We start from the raw sequence: 16,174 nt of genomic DNA on the forward strand, positions 1-16,174 counted from the left end.
TTCTCCTTTTGGCAGAGTGAATTGGGGTCCCAAGTTTCTATTTTCCTTTCACACATTTGAAACTAGACTTGATTTTGCTTAGAAATGTGACATTTATTTATACTTCTAAACAAAATCAAGGCTAGTTATCAATTGCCCATTTTCAGAGAATGAGAAAGCCCAAGAGCTCATGACTCCTTCCCATTTCCTTGGGTTATGGATACCAGGACCCTGGGTTCTGCAGAGCCTGGGGACAGTGGATGAGAGAATGCTGTTTCTGAGCATGATATGGTTGCTGTCAGATCCCTGCTCCTAAACTTACTAGGGAGTGACTGGTCAACAAAAAGAGTCAAACTCTAAAATATTTGAAGAGATTTATTCTGAGCCAAATGTAAGTGACCAATGGGCCATGACACAGCCCTCAGGAGACCCTGAGAACATGTGCACAAGATGGTCAGGGCACAGCCTAGTTTTACACATTTTAGGGAGACATGAGACATCAGTCAATACATGTAAGGTATATATTGTTTCATTCTGGAAGGGCAGGACAACTCAAAGTGGGGACTTCCAGGTTATAGGTAGATTTTAAAATTTTCTGATTGGCAATTGGTTGAAAGAGTTATTATCAGTAGAAAGGAATGTCTGGGTTAAGATAAGGTGTTGGAGAAACCTAGATATTATCAGGAAGATAAAGCCTCCAGGTAGCAGGCTTCAGAGAAAATAGATGTTAAATATTTCTGATCAGAATCTTAGGTTTGATGTTGATGTCTTAAGGTCTGCGTTGATGTTAATGCTGGAGAAATATAATGAGGCATGTCCAATGCTCTCTTCCATCATGGCCTGAACAAGATTTTCAGTTTCACTCTGGAATCCCTATGGCTGAGAGGAGGGGTACATTCAGATGGTTGAAGGGCTTAGAATTTTATTTTTGGTTTCCATTCTTCCCTTTATGGCCAATATTTGCCAGCATCAGCATCAATGGCTATTAATTTTTTTTCCCCCTAGCACTGCTTGGGTGGCATATCTGCCTGCCCTGTGTCCATCCTGTCCTTCAGTGAGACTCCCTGTGGTGGAGGGACTTGAAGTCAAAATACTTACAGACAAGTAAGTGTTCTAGGAAAGATAGGAATGGACTCGGACAGGCATTCATTACCCCTTAAAAGATTTATTTAAAGTAAAGAGCCAAAAACAAAAAGCCAATGGCGAGTTTACAAAAATTGAGTTTTCTTTCATTTCTATGCGTTGAGCTACTATAATCTTGGTTTTAATTATAGGCTTACAGTGATTAACTATACAAAACATATACATTTTTCTAAAAAATAATTTTATATATCTAAATATATATATCTGCAAAACTTATAACTGGGAGTATTATGCCCAGGAGGCTTGGCCATGAGGTATCTTTATCCTCTTATTTTCTTTTAATTCCAGGAAGCAGGACATTTTTCATGGTTGGGGTGGATAAAAAGGTGCCACGTAATAGCTGAGAAAGCAAAGTTCTTTGTTTTACAAGCTGTTTAGGCACTTGTGTACCCTCGTTGATTTGCAGTGTCTCAGCTAACTGTATCCCTCAAAACCAGCCCTTACAATCTCATGCACCCATCTCTTCTGAAACAGTCTCTGGGCCTAGAGGGAGGGTGCTTGCATCGTCTTAGCAGTAGGACATTTGCAATGAAAAACAGATCGGGTCCAGGGGGATGCCAAATAATGGAGATTTGCATCTCTAATCTTCAGAATGCCATGATTCTGGTTTCCTTTGAAGTGAAACAAGGAGAGATAAATAAGATTAATATTTTGACCATCAGAAGAGTACTTGTGTGTCAAAAGAGAAAAAATACCCTATTTCATTAGGTCACCAACTGAAAATATGAAGAAAAATGATAATCTTGTACTCATTAGAAGATTATTATAACTATGAAAACTTTCAGGATTCTCAGGATCATCTTGGCTATACGGGGTCTTCTTTGGTTCTGTATGAAATTTAAAGTAGATTTTTCTAATTCTGTGAATAATGTCAGTGGTAGTTTGATGGGAATAGCATTGAATCTATAAATTACTTTGGGCAATATGGCCATTTTTATAGTATTGATTTTTCCTATCCATGGGGATGGAATGTTTTTCCATTTGTTTATGTCCTCTTATTTCCTTGAGCAGTGGTTTGTAGTTCTCCTTGAAGAGGTCTTTCACATCCCTTGTTAGCTGTATTTCTAGGTATTTTATTCATTTTTTTAGCAATTGTGAATGGGAGTTCATTCATTATTTGTCTCTCTGCTTGTCTATTGTTGGTGTAAAGGAATGCTTGTGATTTTTGGACATTGATTTTATATCATGAGACTTTGCTGAAGTTGCTTATCAGTTTAAGGGGTTTTGGGGCTGAGATTATGGAGTTTTCTAAATATAACAGCATATCATCTGCAATCAGAGGCAACTTGACTTCCTCTCTTCCTATATGAATACCCTTTATTTCTTCCTCTTGCCTGATTGCCCTTGCCAGAACTTCCAATACTATGTTGAATAGAAGTGGTGAGAGAGGGCTTCCTTGTCTTGTACCACTTTTCAAAGGCAATGCTTCCAGCTTTTGCCCATTGACTGTGATATTGGCTGTAGGGTTGTCATAAATAGCTCTTATTATTTTGAGATATGTTCCATGAATACCTAGTTTATTGAGAGTTTTTAACATGAATTTGTGTTGAATTTTATCAAAGGCCTTTTCTGCACCTATTGAGATAATCACGTGGTTTTTGTCTTTGGTTCTGTTTATGTTGATGGATTATGTTTATTTATTTGTGCATGGTGGAACAGTCTTGCATCCCAGGGATGAAGCTGACTTGATTGTGGTGGATAAGTGTTTTGATGTGCTGCTGAATTCGGTTTGCTAGTATTTTATTGAGGATTTGTGCATCGATGTTCATCAGGGATATTGGCCTGAAGTGTGTGTGTGTGTGTGTGTGTGTGTGTGTGTGTGTATGTGTCTTCCTGATTTTGGTATCAGGATGATGCTGGCTTCATAAAATGAGTTAGGGGGAAGTCACTCCTTTTCAATTTTTCCGAATAGCAAAAAGAACAAAGTTGGAGGCATCACACTACTTCAAACTATACTACAATGCTACACTAACCAACACAGCATGGTACTGGTACCAAAACAGACATATAGACTAATGAAACAGAACAGAGACCTCAGAAATAACACCACACATCTACATCCATATGATCTTCAACAAACCTGACAAAAAGAAGCAATGAAGAAAGAATCTCCTATTCGACAAATAGTGCTGGGAAAATTCACTAGCCATATGCAGAAAATTGAAACTGGAACCCTTCCTTAAACCTTAAACTTAAGACTTTAAACCTTAAACATAAGACTTAAATGTCAAGCCCCAAACCATAAAAACCCTAGAAGAAAACCTAGGCAATACCATTCACGACATAGGCATGAGCAAAGACTTCATGACAAAAATGCCAAAAGCAACTGCAACAGAAGCCAAGATTGACAAATGAGATCTAAGTAAACTAAAGAGCTTCTGCACAGCGAAAGAAACTATCATCACAGTGAATAGGCAAACACCAGAATGGGAGAAAAATTTTGCAATCTACCCATCTGACAAAGGTCTAATAGCCAGAATTTACAAGGAAATTAAACAAATTCACAAGAAAAAAACAAACAACCCAATCAAAAAATGGGCAAAGAACATGAACAGACACTTCTCCAAAGAAGATATTTACATGGCCAACAAACATATTAAAAAAGCTCAACATCACTGATTATTTGAGAAATGCAAATCAAAACTACAATGAGATACCATCTCACACCAGTCAGGATGGCGATTATTAAAAAATCAAGAAACAGTAGAAGCTGACCAGGCTGTGGAGAAATAGGAATGCTTTTACACTGTTGGTGGGCATGTAAATTAGTTCAACCATTGTGGAAGACAGTATGACGATTCCTCAAGGATCTAAAACCAGAAATACCATTTGACCCAGCAATCCCATTACTGGATATATACCCAAAATAATATAAATTATTCTACTATAAAGACACATGCACACATATGTTTATTGCAGCACTATTTACAATAGCAAAGTCATGGAACTAGTCCAAATGCCCAACAATGATAGACTGGATAAACAAAATGTAGTCCATATACATCATGGAATACTATGCAGCCATAAAAGGAATGAGATCATGTCCTTTGCAGGGACATGGATGAAGCTGGAAGCCATCATCCTTAGCAAACTAAAACAGGAACAGAAAACCAAACACCACATGTTCTCACTCATAAGTGGGAGTTGAACAATGAGAACACATGGACACAGGGAGTGGAAAAGCACACACCAGGGCCTGTTGGGGGGTGAGGGGTGAGGGGAGGGAACTTAAAGGATGGGTCAATAGGTATAGCAAACCACCATGGCACGTGTATACCTACTTAACAAGCCTGCACATTCTGCACATGTATCCTGGAACTTAAAGGAAAATAAAATAAAATAGAAAAATTTTATGATTCAATTTGTACTCAATAAAATAAAAGCCAGGGCTGACATTTATTAACAAGCATTACCCTTTTCCCTTGAAGCAATCTCTCTGTCTCTCTCTAGCTCTCCTTTTTTATTAAAGAGAAGTCATAGTGAGAACAACTTGTGTGAAAAATAAGTTTTAGGCTTATTATGGTTGGCTTGTGATATGGCTTGACTCTGTGTCCTCACCCAAATCTCATTTCAAATTGTCATCCCTCCTGGTGGGAGGTGATTGTATCATGGGAGTTGTTTCACCCATGCTGTTTTCATGATAGTGAGTTATGAAATCTGATGATTGTATAAGTGTTTGACATTTTATCCTTTATACACAGACACACACACACACACACACAGTCTCTCCTGTCACCTTTTGAAGAAGGTGCCTACTTTCCTTTCTATCATAACTGTAAGTTTTCTGAGGCCTCCCCGGCTATGCAGAACTGTCAGTTAAACCTCTTTTGTTTATAAATTACCCAGTCTCAGGTAATATCTTTATAGCAGTGTGAGAAGGGACTAGTACAGCCTGAGTATTCACTTAAAGTGCAGAAACAATTAATTGGTCATATAGGCTCCTCTTAAGTTGGGTTTGTTGGAATTTACCTAAAATTAAGTTATTCTAGTCAAAGCCTGGGTAAAATAACCAGTGTCTCCATTTGTCCCATTTTACAATAAAAGATGTACTTAAGCAAATAACTATATTGTCACCTAATCAGAATACTCACAGCTTTCAAATTATGGATAACCTAGAGAAAAATAAACTTGCTCACAAAAACACACTTCACCCAATTTTTCTAAACTATAAATAACTCAAAATAAAAACATTTGCTTGACTCTTCTTTAATAAGAGCAGTGGCTTTCAAACACAATGTCATTTGTTTATCTTGGAACTGCTATCCACAAGCCAAACAGCTCCTGTTAGATGGGAACCGCCTATCAAGCACTGTAGAATATGTAGCAGTTCTTCACATAGTTAGAGTCAGTCCTATGGGAAAACAGAGGCTCTTTGCTTATGAGTATTATTCTCCTTGCATTCCTCAGGTAGCAAGATGCTATATCAAAAGTATTTGGGTCCCCAGCAGGGATTTGGGCCAAAGGACTCAGGGCATTTGGTTGATCTTCATCTTATTTGTCTCAACATTGCCCCAGGCAATATTATCTTCCTCATTATAACTTTTGCCTTTTGATTAAAAAACATTTTCTATCTGGGGCAAATAACGACTAAGTATTCAAACATATCTGTGATTCTTCTGGGGCAGGTCCTTGGACTTCCTTTTCCTTTCAATTTTTTTCTTATTTCCCTAATCATTTATCAAGCATCTTTAAGAGCCCTGAGGGACAGCAAATTTGATAAGGCTTCTCTATCATATGATTGTGCTGAAGCAATGTTAACCAGAGTGCCAATGAAAAAGGGGCCCTTTCAACTCCTAAATTTCTTATTGCATGAGTCCAAGCCACATTTTGAAAAGCCTGCTGGAGGAGTAAAGAAGTTTCTGCAAAGTTCAATCCACCCCCAATCCTCCAATGCCCAGGTAGCTCTGACGGAACCTCCCCTGCATCCAGCTCCAGCCCCAGCCCAGTACCATTGGATCCCTGACGTTCCTTACAGCCAAAAGATTCAAGGAGTCAGTCCACCCACGAGCAGAGGGGAGGATGTTTCTCAAGAATGAGACAGGAAGTGCAGAGGAAATGCACTTGTCCTAGAAGACAAGGCCAGTCACGGTGGCATAGCGCTCATCCTAGGCAATCCACCCACCCATGAGGTGAAACATGGAGACCGAGGAAGCTTACCTGTCTGAGACACGTATGGAAGCCAAGAGCTCCAGGGTCATCAGACCTGCGCAATCCAGCAGAAACAGGTTTGGAGAGAGAAACAGTCATGACACGAATCTCCAGGAATTGTCTCCCTGATGGACGGGGAAGTGATCTTCATAGAAGATATTCAGCCAGACCAAGAGGCATCTAGGCCGCTGAGAAACAGGGGAGACAGTGGAAGAGGGAGGACAGAGCAGAGGCCAGAGCCCAGGCAGGATACGGCGCCGTGCCACCGCCACGGGCATAAGGGGAGGGGTGCGAAGCGGGTGGCTTGTCCATAGAGGCCAGCGTTCCAGGGACAGGGATTGTTGCCGTCTCCCATTCCCGGCTTCCTCTTCAAGATTGTGTCATGGTGTGGCTTCATTTCGCAGAGAAGAGGCGTGGAAAGGTACAACCATCTTCTTGGACGTGGGTCTGCTCCTCTCCTGCCGGACAATGTGCTACCGTGGGGCTTTTGTCCTGGGCTGGAGTGTGGTCCTCTTGATCCTAGAAAAGAGGCCGCTCAGGATGGGGATGAGACTTCCATTGCTCCGGCCAGACGCATCCCCTCAGGTGATCGAGGCCTTCACAGACCCAAAGCGGAACCGCCGCGAAAACGATCGACAGCCGGCCACAGGACCCAGGGAAAGACGCAGAAAGAGGCTCACCAAAGACCGACCGACATGCAAGAAATCGCTTTCTGACGCACAGGGCACATTCGTCCAAACACACACGCACAAGGGCACACACACACACATAGAAACCGACACAGAGAGGGAAAGAAATAGAGAGTGACAGACAGCGAGAGAGAAGAGAATGGCGCACACACACACACGCACACGGTCATACAGCGGTGTCATGGAAGCACCCCCACCTCAGGCAGCAGGCAATCCTTGAGGCTGCAGGGTTCTGCTCTCCACGCGAACGACCCTCGGGTGAGAGAGAAGCCCACGGACACACAAGCAGACCTGTCCTCCAGATCACGGGGGCACGACTTTTGGGGAGACTCACCCGAACACCGTCCGGGCAGGCCTGAGGATGGGATGCCGCGCTGCTTCCCCGGCCTCTGCCTGTGGTTTCCTCATCCTGGTCGGCCCATTTCAGGTCCTGGCATCCGGAGACGCTCCTGTGGACCCCGTGGAGAAGTCAGGCCGGAGCCTCGGAGCCCCGACACCGAAGCCCTGCCACGGAGGGCTCCTGCTTTGCCAAGCCCCAGGGAGTGGTTTCTATGACAACCCTGGGAATCGCTGTGATGGGGAGAAGCGGCTCGCTCCTCGCGCATGCGCATTGACTTGGCCAAGTCTTGCGTAGCTCCTGGAAGTCAGGCTGAGGTCCCTTTAAACAATGGCAGCTGCGCGGAGGCAGTGGGGCGGTTCTTGCTGCAGCAGCGGTGGCGGCTGGATACGGGGCCCAGTATGGGGCGGCGTGGGAGAGGGGACCGCGGACGTCCAGTACCAAACCGTGTCACCTGGAGTGACTGGCTCTCCAAGGGCCAGCTGGCCATCGTATCCTGGAGATGGTCAACAAAACTTTGACCCTGACCAGAAAGGAAAATGCTGGCAGTGCCCTGGACTGACGACAGCCAGGACATATCACGCTTACCTGGGAAGGGCCCATACACAAAGGCTCCTGGAGAAGCACAGGGCCTGTCACCAAGATGAACAACATCTGGGGATTGTGACCCTGGGGACTGGCTATGTGGGTGTACTGTGTGAGCTGCCCCAAAATGCCACCCAGAAAGTGGAAATGGCCCTGGAAAGCTGTAGCAGGGAAACCCCTCCCTGGTGAGTTATTCTCCACCTGCCTCCCTCTGTTCCTGGCAGCCTTGCCCCATCTCGATTTTCAACTCCAGTTGTGTCTGCCTGGAGGGTGGCATGGCCAGCGTTAGTATCTCCTTCTGCAGCTCAGTGATGGGCTCCAGCAGCCCTCACCATGCCTCAGAACCTGAGACCCTTAGGGAAGGACAGGACATGCTGCAAACACAAACCCGGTGAGAGAGGGTCTTCCGGCCACAGAGGTCACAGGTAGGGGTCTATAGACTCCAGTTCTGAGTTCCTGACCAGGTTTCAACCATGAGCATGCTCTTTAACCTTATTATTTCTTGTCATTCCCATCTGTGACATGGAGAAGGCACCCACCTCAGAGGTTTTGTGAGCAATAAATGAATACGATTAATGTGCCTTTCCTGGTGCTACACATAAAGCCAGGCATGAGTCCTCGTGCAGTTGCCCCACCATGTCCAGGTCCCACAGGCTAGTCCAGACCCCAACATTGGGCCAGTTCTCAACAGATGCCTGGATGCCAGGCCCCCCTGGAGATACTGGGACCCTGGCCTGGGCCTGGACAGAAGGTGTTGCTGTGCCATTTGGAGATGACCCCATAGGTGAGGACTGGGGCCTATGTGGCCCTGTGAAGGGGTGTGCCCTAAGGCGGGGCTTGGGTGCCTCACTGGGAGGCCACAGGATGGAAGGGCAGGCAGGTGAGACCCAAGGCCACTCTATACCACATTTTGAACAAACCCGTCACTCTCCACCTGCAGACTCAGCTATGCATATTTAAGACACTATTGGGCCCTTAGTTAAAAAATATTTTGCTTGCACACTCAGCGTTCTCATCCAACATCAATGGGGAATCAAAAATCCTTTATTTGGAAACAAGTAAGGGAAGCAATGTTGAAAATTTGTCATGGCTCCATAACCCATATCTCCTCTGGGGATTAATTATTTTCTTAAAATGCAGTGTGTACTGTTAGTTTAAATCATCCCAACTGTGATAACACTCTTTAAATCTTCAGTAAACCTTCACATTTAAACCACCTGCAGATGAGAGTAAATCCGTCAGGTGAGAGGAGAGTGAGCACTCACTGGAGGTGAAATAAAATCAGGTAATAAGAACTTAGACTGTGGTCTCTCGACACCTCCCGCCCTCCCCATCAGAATGTGGCAGCTGAACAAGGAGACATGGCAGGCCTGGCCACAGTGCCCAGTGGGGTTGCCCACCCTAGCTCTTAGGAAACTGGATACTTGGGGCCAGTGGCCACCCAGGGCCTGTTGTCCACCTGGGTCCTAGGGGTAAACCTAAGACCTGTGTCCACCTGTGTCTTAGGAGTAAACCTAAGACCTGTATTTCCCCTGGGGCCTGATGTCCACCTGAAGACTGGAGTTCACCTGTGGCCTACTGTCCAACTGGGGCCTGAGGTCACTAGGGTCGTAGGTATCCCTCTGAGGCCTGGTGCCCACTTGTCCCTGATTTCTCCCTGGATCCTGGGTATCCACCTGGAGCCATATATCCATCACAAGCCTGGTTACCTTCCTGGGACCTGAGCATCAACTGGGGGCCTAATGTACACCTGGAGTTCAGTGTCCACCTGGGGCCAGAGTTCTATGAGGAGCCTGGTCTTTACCTGGGGGCTGTCTCTCTCTCTCTCTCTCTCTCTCTCTCTCTCTCTCTCTGTGTAATCTCAGTTTCTATGAATAATTTTGAAAAATAACTTTCTGGGTTTTTTTTAAATTATTGCTCTTATACAGTTAAATTTCACATAAATGGACACACTGATTTGATTCTGTCTTCTCATTTTTTCGTATCACCTTGCTTCAGTTGCTTTATTATTTCTATTCATCACCACTTAAAGGGCCAATCACAGGATACCAAAAACGACTTTTAAGAAACAGTGGTAAAGAAACATTAATCAAAAAATATGAAAATCTGTAACATAAGTATAATTAAAAGTATAATTTTGAAATTTTAATTTAAACAAATGGGATAGGGAAATAGGTAGAAAATTAATTTTGACTAGTTCTTTGGTAAGCCAGTACAATAATATTGAAAATCAAAAGTAAAAAAGCTGAAAAGGATATAAATAACATGGTCAATAACTTTATCTAAAAGTATACAAATGTACATTCAACAAAGAAATATAGATTTTGTCATGTTTTCAAATGTAGGTCATGAATTAGACAACAAAGGAGTAATCAATGTATTCTAAACCATCAATATCATATTGTATTCCTCAAAGCCAGCAACAATTAAAATTTTCAGATATTTGGAAATCACTAAGCCCATTATTAAGTAATCTTGAAGTTAGAAAGAAAACAATAGGTGAATTATGAAAACAATGTAGTATAATGATAAATACCTTTAGATATGCAAGTTTTTGAGAATGCATTTAAAACAGAAATTGGAGGTATATTTCTAACTTTAAGTACATTTTTTAGAAAAAACTGAAAATCTAATAAAACAACTAAATCATCCATCTGAAAACCTAGAAAAAGCATACAAGTAAACAAAAAGCATAACAAATTTAAGAAACAAACTAAGAAACAACAGAAGACAAAATATTAAAATAATTTTTGATATTAGTAGCAACACTAATTAAGAACATAAGGTATGCAGATGAAACAGAATTTTGAAAAAGCTATTAATAGAGATGTAACAGATAAAAAATGTGGTCTTCAAATAGCAGGAAAAAATTTTTATCCTGGTTCCTTTCACAAATTCCTCCAAACTCTCAAAGATACACAGAAAGCAACAAATATGAACAAACAGAAAATAGAAAAGCACAACAAACTAGACCTGTTCATTTCACACTCTCCTATTAGGTTGGTGTAAAAGTTATTGCGGTTTTTGCCATTAAAAGTAATGTCAAAAACAGCAATAATTTTCCACCAACCCAATAACAATCTTTTGTTTATAATTTGCCTTTTTCTGCATATGGGACTAATTCAAGTATTTAGTTTCCGTTTGGGCATTATGATCAGAATGGGTTTGTGGGTGGTGGATATACAGACTGTTGGCACAATTTGCTATGTATGGTTTGCTCTTAGATATCCAGATAGAGTTACCAGGCAGTAGTCCATCACCTCTCTGAGTCTGGAGGTCTGAGAACAGGGTGGGTGGGAGAATATAGCGAGAACTCTGTGAGGAATTAGATATGGGGGTTACGCCCTTGACCTACGTGTAGCCAGCAAGCCCTATTCAATGTGCTGAGTTTAGAGAAAGGCTCAGACAAGGGCCTAGAGGATGGGCAGGAGAATCCGCAAGCTTCCCAGGGTTCTGCCTGGGCCAGGGCCTTGCCCAGCACAGCCTTGAAAGGACAGAACTGGGGTCCTGCAGCCCACCTCTGTGGGCACCTGGAACTATGACCATCCCACCTGCCCTAGTGTAGACAGGGCCTACAGGAGATGAAGCCTCCGTTTTCTCCTGTATATAATGTGAGGTGCTTAGAGCATGAAACCACAGGGTTCCACATGCTCGGATAGTGTTTGTTGACCTTGGTTTTTTATGAATGACCCTGTGTGTACTGAGACACTTGGAAAAAGCTATTCACTCTGGGGGTCCTTCAGAGCAGACAGAGGCTTGGTGGTTTGGGTGGATGAGGATTTGGGATAGGACAGAATGTGCCCAGGCACTGGACCCTGTGTCAAAAGTCTCGGAACATGATCAAACCTCATTTGGAAGTTGGGGTAAATTGCTGCCCTGGCTGTGGTGAGGACACCTCGAGAGTGAACTTTACACCCCAGGAACTGGAGGCAAAGAGGGGACAAGAGAGACTGCTGAGGTCCTTCTTACTGCCCTTGGAGCCTGCAGATCCTGCTCCTCTGCCTCCTGGGAACCTGGAGAGCCACTGACTTGAGGAATCTTAAATGCAGGTCCCTGTTTTGTTCTGTGATGCTCCTGCCTCAGGCTGCAGTGCTGATGCTGGCTATGGGGTGGGTGGGAGGACAGTGTTCTGTGTTCCTGGTGCCCACTGAGCTGTTCTCATGCATCTGGATCCAGGGGAGAGTCATGCTGAGGTCATGCAGTTCCTGTTCTTATGAATGATCTCCACATTATGAGGTGGCCAGAAGCAGGAAGGGGCATTTGACATCCTCCCATTTATTCACTCAGCAACTCTGCCCTTAGCATTAGTCTTGTGTGCCAGGTGCCCTGGTGGGCCCAGCATATGGTACTGAAAATGTCCACGTGGTCCCTGACCCTCAGGGGTTCACAGTCTGAGGACAGGTAGACATCAAGCCCCAAGTTGATACCTAGGTGTCGGATGGACATCACGCCCCAGATGGACAGCCCAGCCAGAGGTAGACTTCAGGTCCCAAATGGAAATTTGGCCGTAGGTAGATATCTGGCCACTGGTGGATAGCCAGTCCCAGGTGGACATCAGGCTCCAGGTTGACATCAGTCCCCAATAGGATATCTAGGCCCCAGGTGGATACCCACTGCGTACTTGTAAATTGTCAAGACTGTTTTTTTTTTTTAAAGCAAGTGAGAGCTATCATAAAACATGATAACTTTTAGTAGATTTTGAATATTCCTAAACTCCATGAGAAATCATAATATTTTAAAAATCAGCGTGTATATGGAATGAGTATTTTTAAATGTATCTTTCATGTTAAAGGATTTAGAATAAAATGTTACAAAAGTTATCTGTGTTATTCGTAGAAAATGTAGACAATGAAAAAATCAGAGACTAAAAATACCTATATTTTTGGCTATGAGATAATCGCTGCTATGGCACATTCCTTCTAACCTTATTGCCATAGATTTTTTATACCTAATATTGATTTTATGCCACACATTTCATTACATATGCAATGGAGTATTACTTATTCATTACTAAGTCACAAAGAGTTTGATTGTGTGTATATTTAAAAAGGCAAAGGAGATAAATTTACATAATTCAGGTTTTTCCACTTAGCATTTTATCAATAAACATGAGTGGTTGAGTGCATATGCATGAGATTTGGTTCTGCATTTATTTCGGATGGTCTCATGTCCTATGTGCTTATCACTAAATATGATGCTATTGTAAACCATATGCGTTTATTTTTACATATGTCCTTAAAGGAACAAAAACATTTACCTTTGATGTTAAAGCAAATAAACAACAACAATCTGTTCTAATGCCAGAGGAACAGCAAACTGAGGGTGATTGTAAAATTATATATATGAATACCTCACTTTAGAGGCCACTTAATTTTTTTCCAAGGGGATCTTTGACTATATGTCATTTGTATTTTATTTAATGATTTTATAATTTAACCCCTAAATTATAAATCTAGAATTTAGAAGGTATATTTCCTTACTGGATTACATTTTTGGAAATAATATTTTATATGTGTACAAATATTACAAGTCATTGTAGACACTGGAAAAGTATATTATTATTTAAAGGCAATAAAGATTCTACAATAAACTGGTATACCAAATAAAATTGTTGGTGCATTTTTTCCAGTAGATTTTGTACATATTACATATTTAACCTTTTTTATTCAGCACATAATTTTTGAGTATTTACTAAGTGTCTGCATTACGAACTGAGTTTAAGGAGTGAAATAACAGACATGGCCTCAGACATTAAAAATTAAAGTTAGGTCCCCTATTTATATATTTAAAAATGGTAATTATGAAAACTTGTTGAGATTTTTACCTAGACAACGTTACAATAATACACTTGATGTTGTTAATATTTGCAAGTGAGCAAAAAAGAAAATAAAAAGATGGTTTAATTCATTCAATGTACACTTTAAAATTGCAGAAAATAGTCATTTCTTTGCTTTGCAATTGAATGTCTATGTGTTTTTCTCTGCAACTTTCTCTGGAGTGAGAGAAACAATTATTCATCCAGCCCAATAAAGGCAGAAGAGTAACAATAAATCTAATATTTTAAATGCCAATCAAAAGATAGTAAACATATTATTTCAGAATACTGAGGTCAATAAGTTGACCTACAAAAAAAGCCAAAGTGACAGTATAACTGAATAAGGAAAAGCCCAAAAGAGACAAAATACCTTTTGTTTTGTTACCTCGGTATGACACAACTTACCCTAACTATAAAGATCCTAAATTACCAAGATGGGTGGCTTATAATATGCAGAGTAAACAAAGTCATTTCACTTTTAGCATTTTTATTTCTCTAAGAATAAAATGTGTATGAGGAATTTATAAAGAAATTGACACTATATGTTAATACTACAATGAGCACTTTTCGAGAAAAGACTTTTTTACTCTCTTACCAACATCATGTTAGCAGTATTTATTTTCTCCAGAAATAATGCGGCAATAAAAATATCAGTATGTAGGTAAAATTAGTGTAGTTTCTTAAAGAAATGGGTTAGGTCACAGGCTAATTATGTGTATTTCACTGGTTTTTGAATGCCTACAATCATATACTTTACAAGGCACAGAGAAGATTTTCCAAAAAAACAAATATGTGAACCTGAAAAGTAATTACCACTTGGTAGTGACAATATGGATAGGGTGAAGGGCGTCATCAGGAAGCAATGAAAAAGACACATTTGCAGTTAAATTTGAAAACCATGATGTTTAACACATATGGTAATAAAGAATATTTTCTCCTGTTTCAAAATTATTATAGAATTCAAGATAGAAGCTAAAATACCTAGGGATAATGATATGGTTAATCACAAATTAAAAATTAAAGGATATTTTGAGTATTATAAGTTAAGAATGAGAACTTATTACCCAATGAAAAGGGGATAATTCATTATGCTCCATATCCATTGAATTAAAAGGCCCCATAACCTGGGTAATTTAAAAGTTTAATTTTATTTAAAAGTTTTGTTTTGTTCATCAAGCTGAAGGGTTTGCCCCCAGAAATATTCTAGGATTGCATATCCCCAACTCTGTATGAAGTATACAAATAATGTTATAAGGGCCACCATCTAAATTTGTAAATAATTTAGTACCATTTCATTTGCCTTTGTAGATTTAAACATGTAAATGGCTTTCTCATATTAGGAAACATCATTTTTCAAAACCCAGATAAACATAATATATTGCAGGAGAATAATTATTTATTTATTAAAAAAGAAATGCTGGATGCTAAGTCCAAAAGACATAAATTATTTTACACTAATAGCTACTAACATTTTATTCATTAACATATAAAGGTCAAAGATTTTAAAATAATCTTTAAATGATTAGCAACACGTTGATCTCTTTTTCTTTTTTTCGTAAACCTTTTTGAGTCTTAAAAATACTAAATTATACAAGCAATATTAAATATTAAATTCAATAAACTTGAATTAAAATATTCAAATTTACTAGAATATGCACATTGGAAAAATGAAAATAAACAGAAGCATAAAGCAGCATGTGTAAAATTAAGAAAGCTACTGAGAGTGTTTAAAGTACATATTCATCTGTAGTCTAACTTCTGCCATAAATAATGAGTCTTCTCAGTAAAACACAAATTGTTCATGAAGGGAAAAAACATGTTGTATTAGGGAATATTCAACATAATTTTTTTAGTACTAACTTGTGCCCCGAATTTTATTTGTTTTTGTATTATGAACTTATGCACTTGATAATTTCTTTTTTCATAAAAAATTGTATTTACAACTCTATTCAAAAGCAGTTTTTTTTTTTTTTTTTTTGAGACAGAGTTTTGCTCTTATCACCTAGGATGGAGTGCAATGGTGCCATCTTGGCTCACAGCAACCTTTGCCTCCCTGATTCAGGCGATTCTCTTGCTTCAGCCTCCTGAGTAGCTAGGACTACAAGCATGCACCAACATGCCTGGCTAATTTTGTGTTTTTAGTAGAAATGGGGTTTCGCCATGTTGGCCAAGCTAGTCTCGAACTCCTGACCTCAGGTAATCCGCCCACCTTGGCCTCCCAAAGTGCTGGGATTACAGGCAAGAGCCACCATGCCCGGACTCAAAAGCAGTTTTTAAAAGCAAACAATATAACACCAAAGTTGACAAATCTATGCTCACCGAGTTTTGCCAGGTTTAAAAAATTATTTACAGAATATGGCATCAAAAATAAGGCAATAACCCAAAATATACCATTAAAGATGTATCCACTCCTACAACTAGAAAGAACTAATCTATCTGGTAGCAAATGATACTTCATTCAGTTTCAGCATGTCTGAA

At 40.6% G+C, this 16,174-nt stretch overlaps 1 long non-coding RNA gene across 1 annotated transcript; it reads right to left on the reverse strand.

Moving 5' to 3' along the window:
• Nucleotides 1–336: 336 nt before the first annotated feature.
• Nucleotides 337–7,562, reverse strand: LOC124903953 (uncharacterized). Its single transcript, XR_007065668.1, has 3 exons — nt 7,294–7,562; nt 6,280–6,789; nt 337–1,733 (listed from the first exon to the last, which is right to left on the reverse strand). It is a non-coding gene; the product is annotated as an uncharacterized LOC124903953 (long non-coding RNA).
• Nucleotides 7,563–16,174: the final 8,612 nt, after the last annotated feature.

This window comes from Homo sapiens, chromosome 17 (assembly GCF_000001405.40).
Source record: "Homo sapiens chromosome 17, GRCh38.p14 Primary Assembly".
In the NCBI taxonomy this organism is placed as follows: Eukaryota; Metazoa; Chordata; class Mammalia; order Primates; family Hominidae; genus Homo; species Homo sapiens.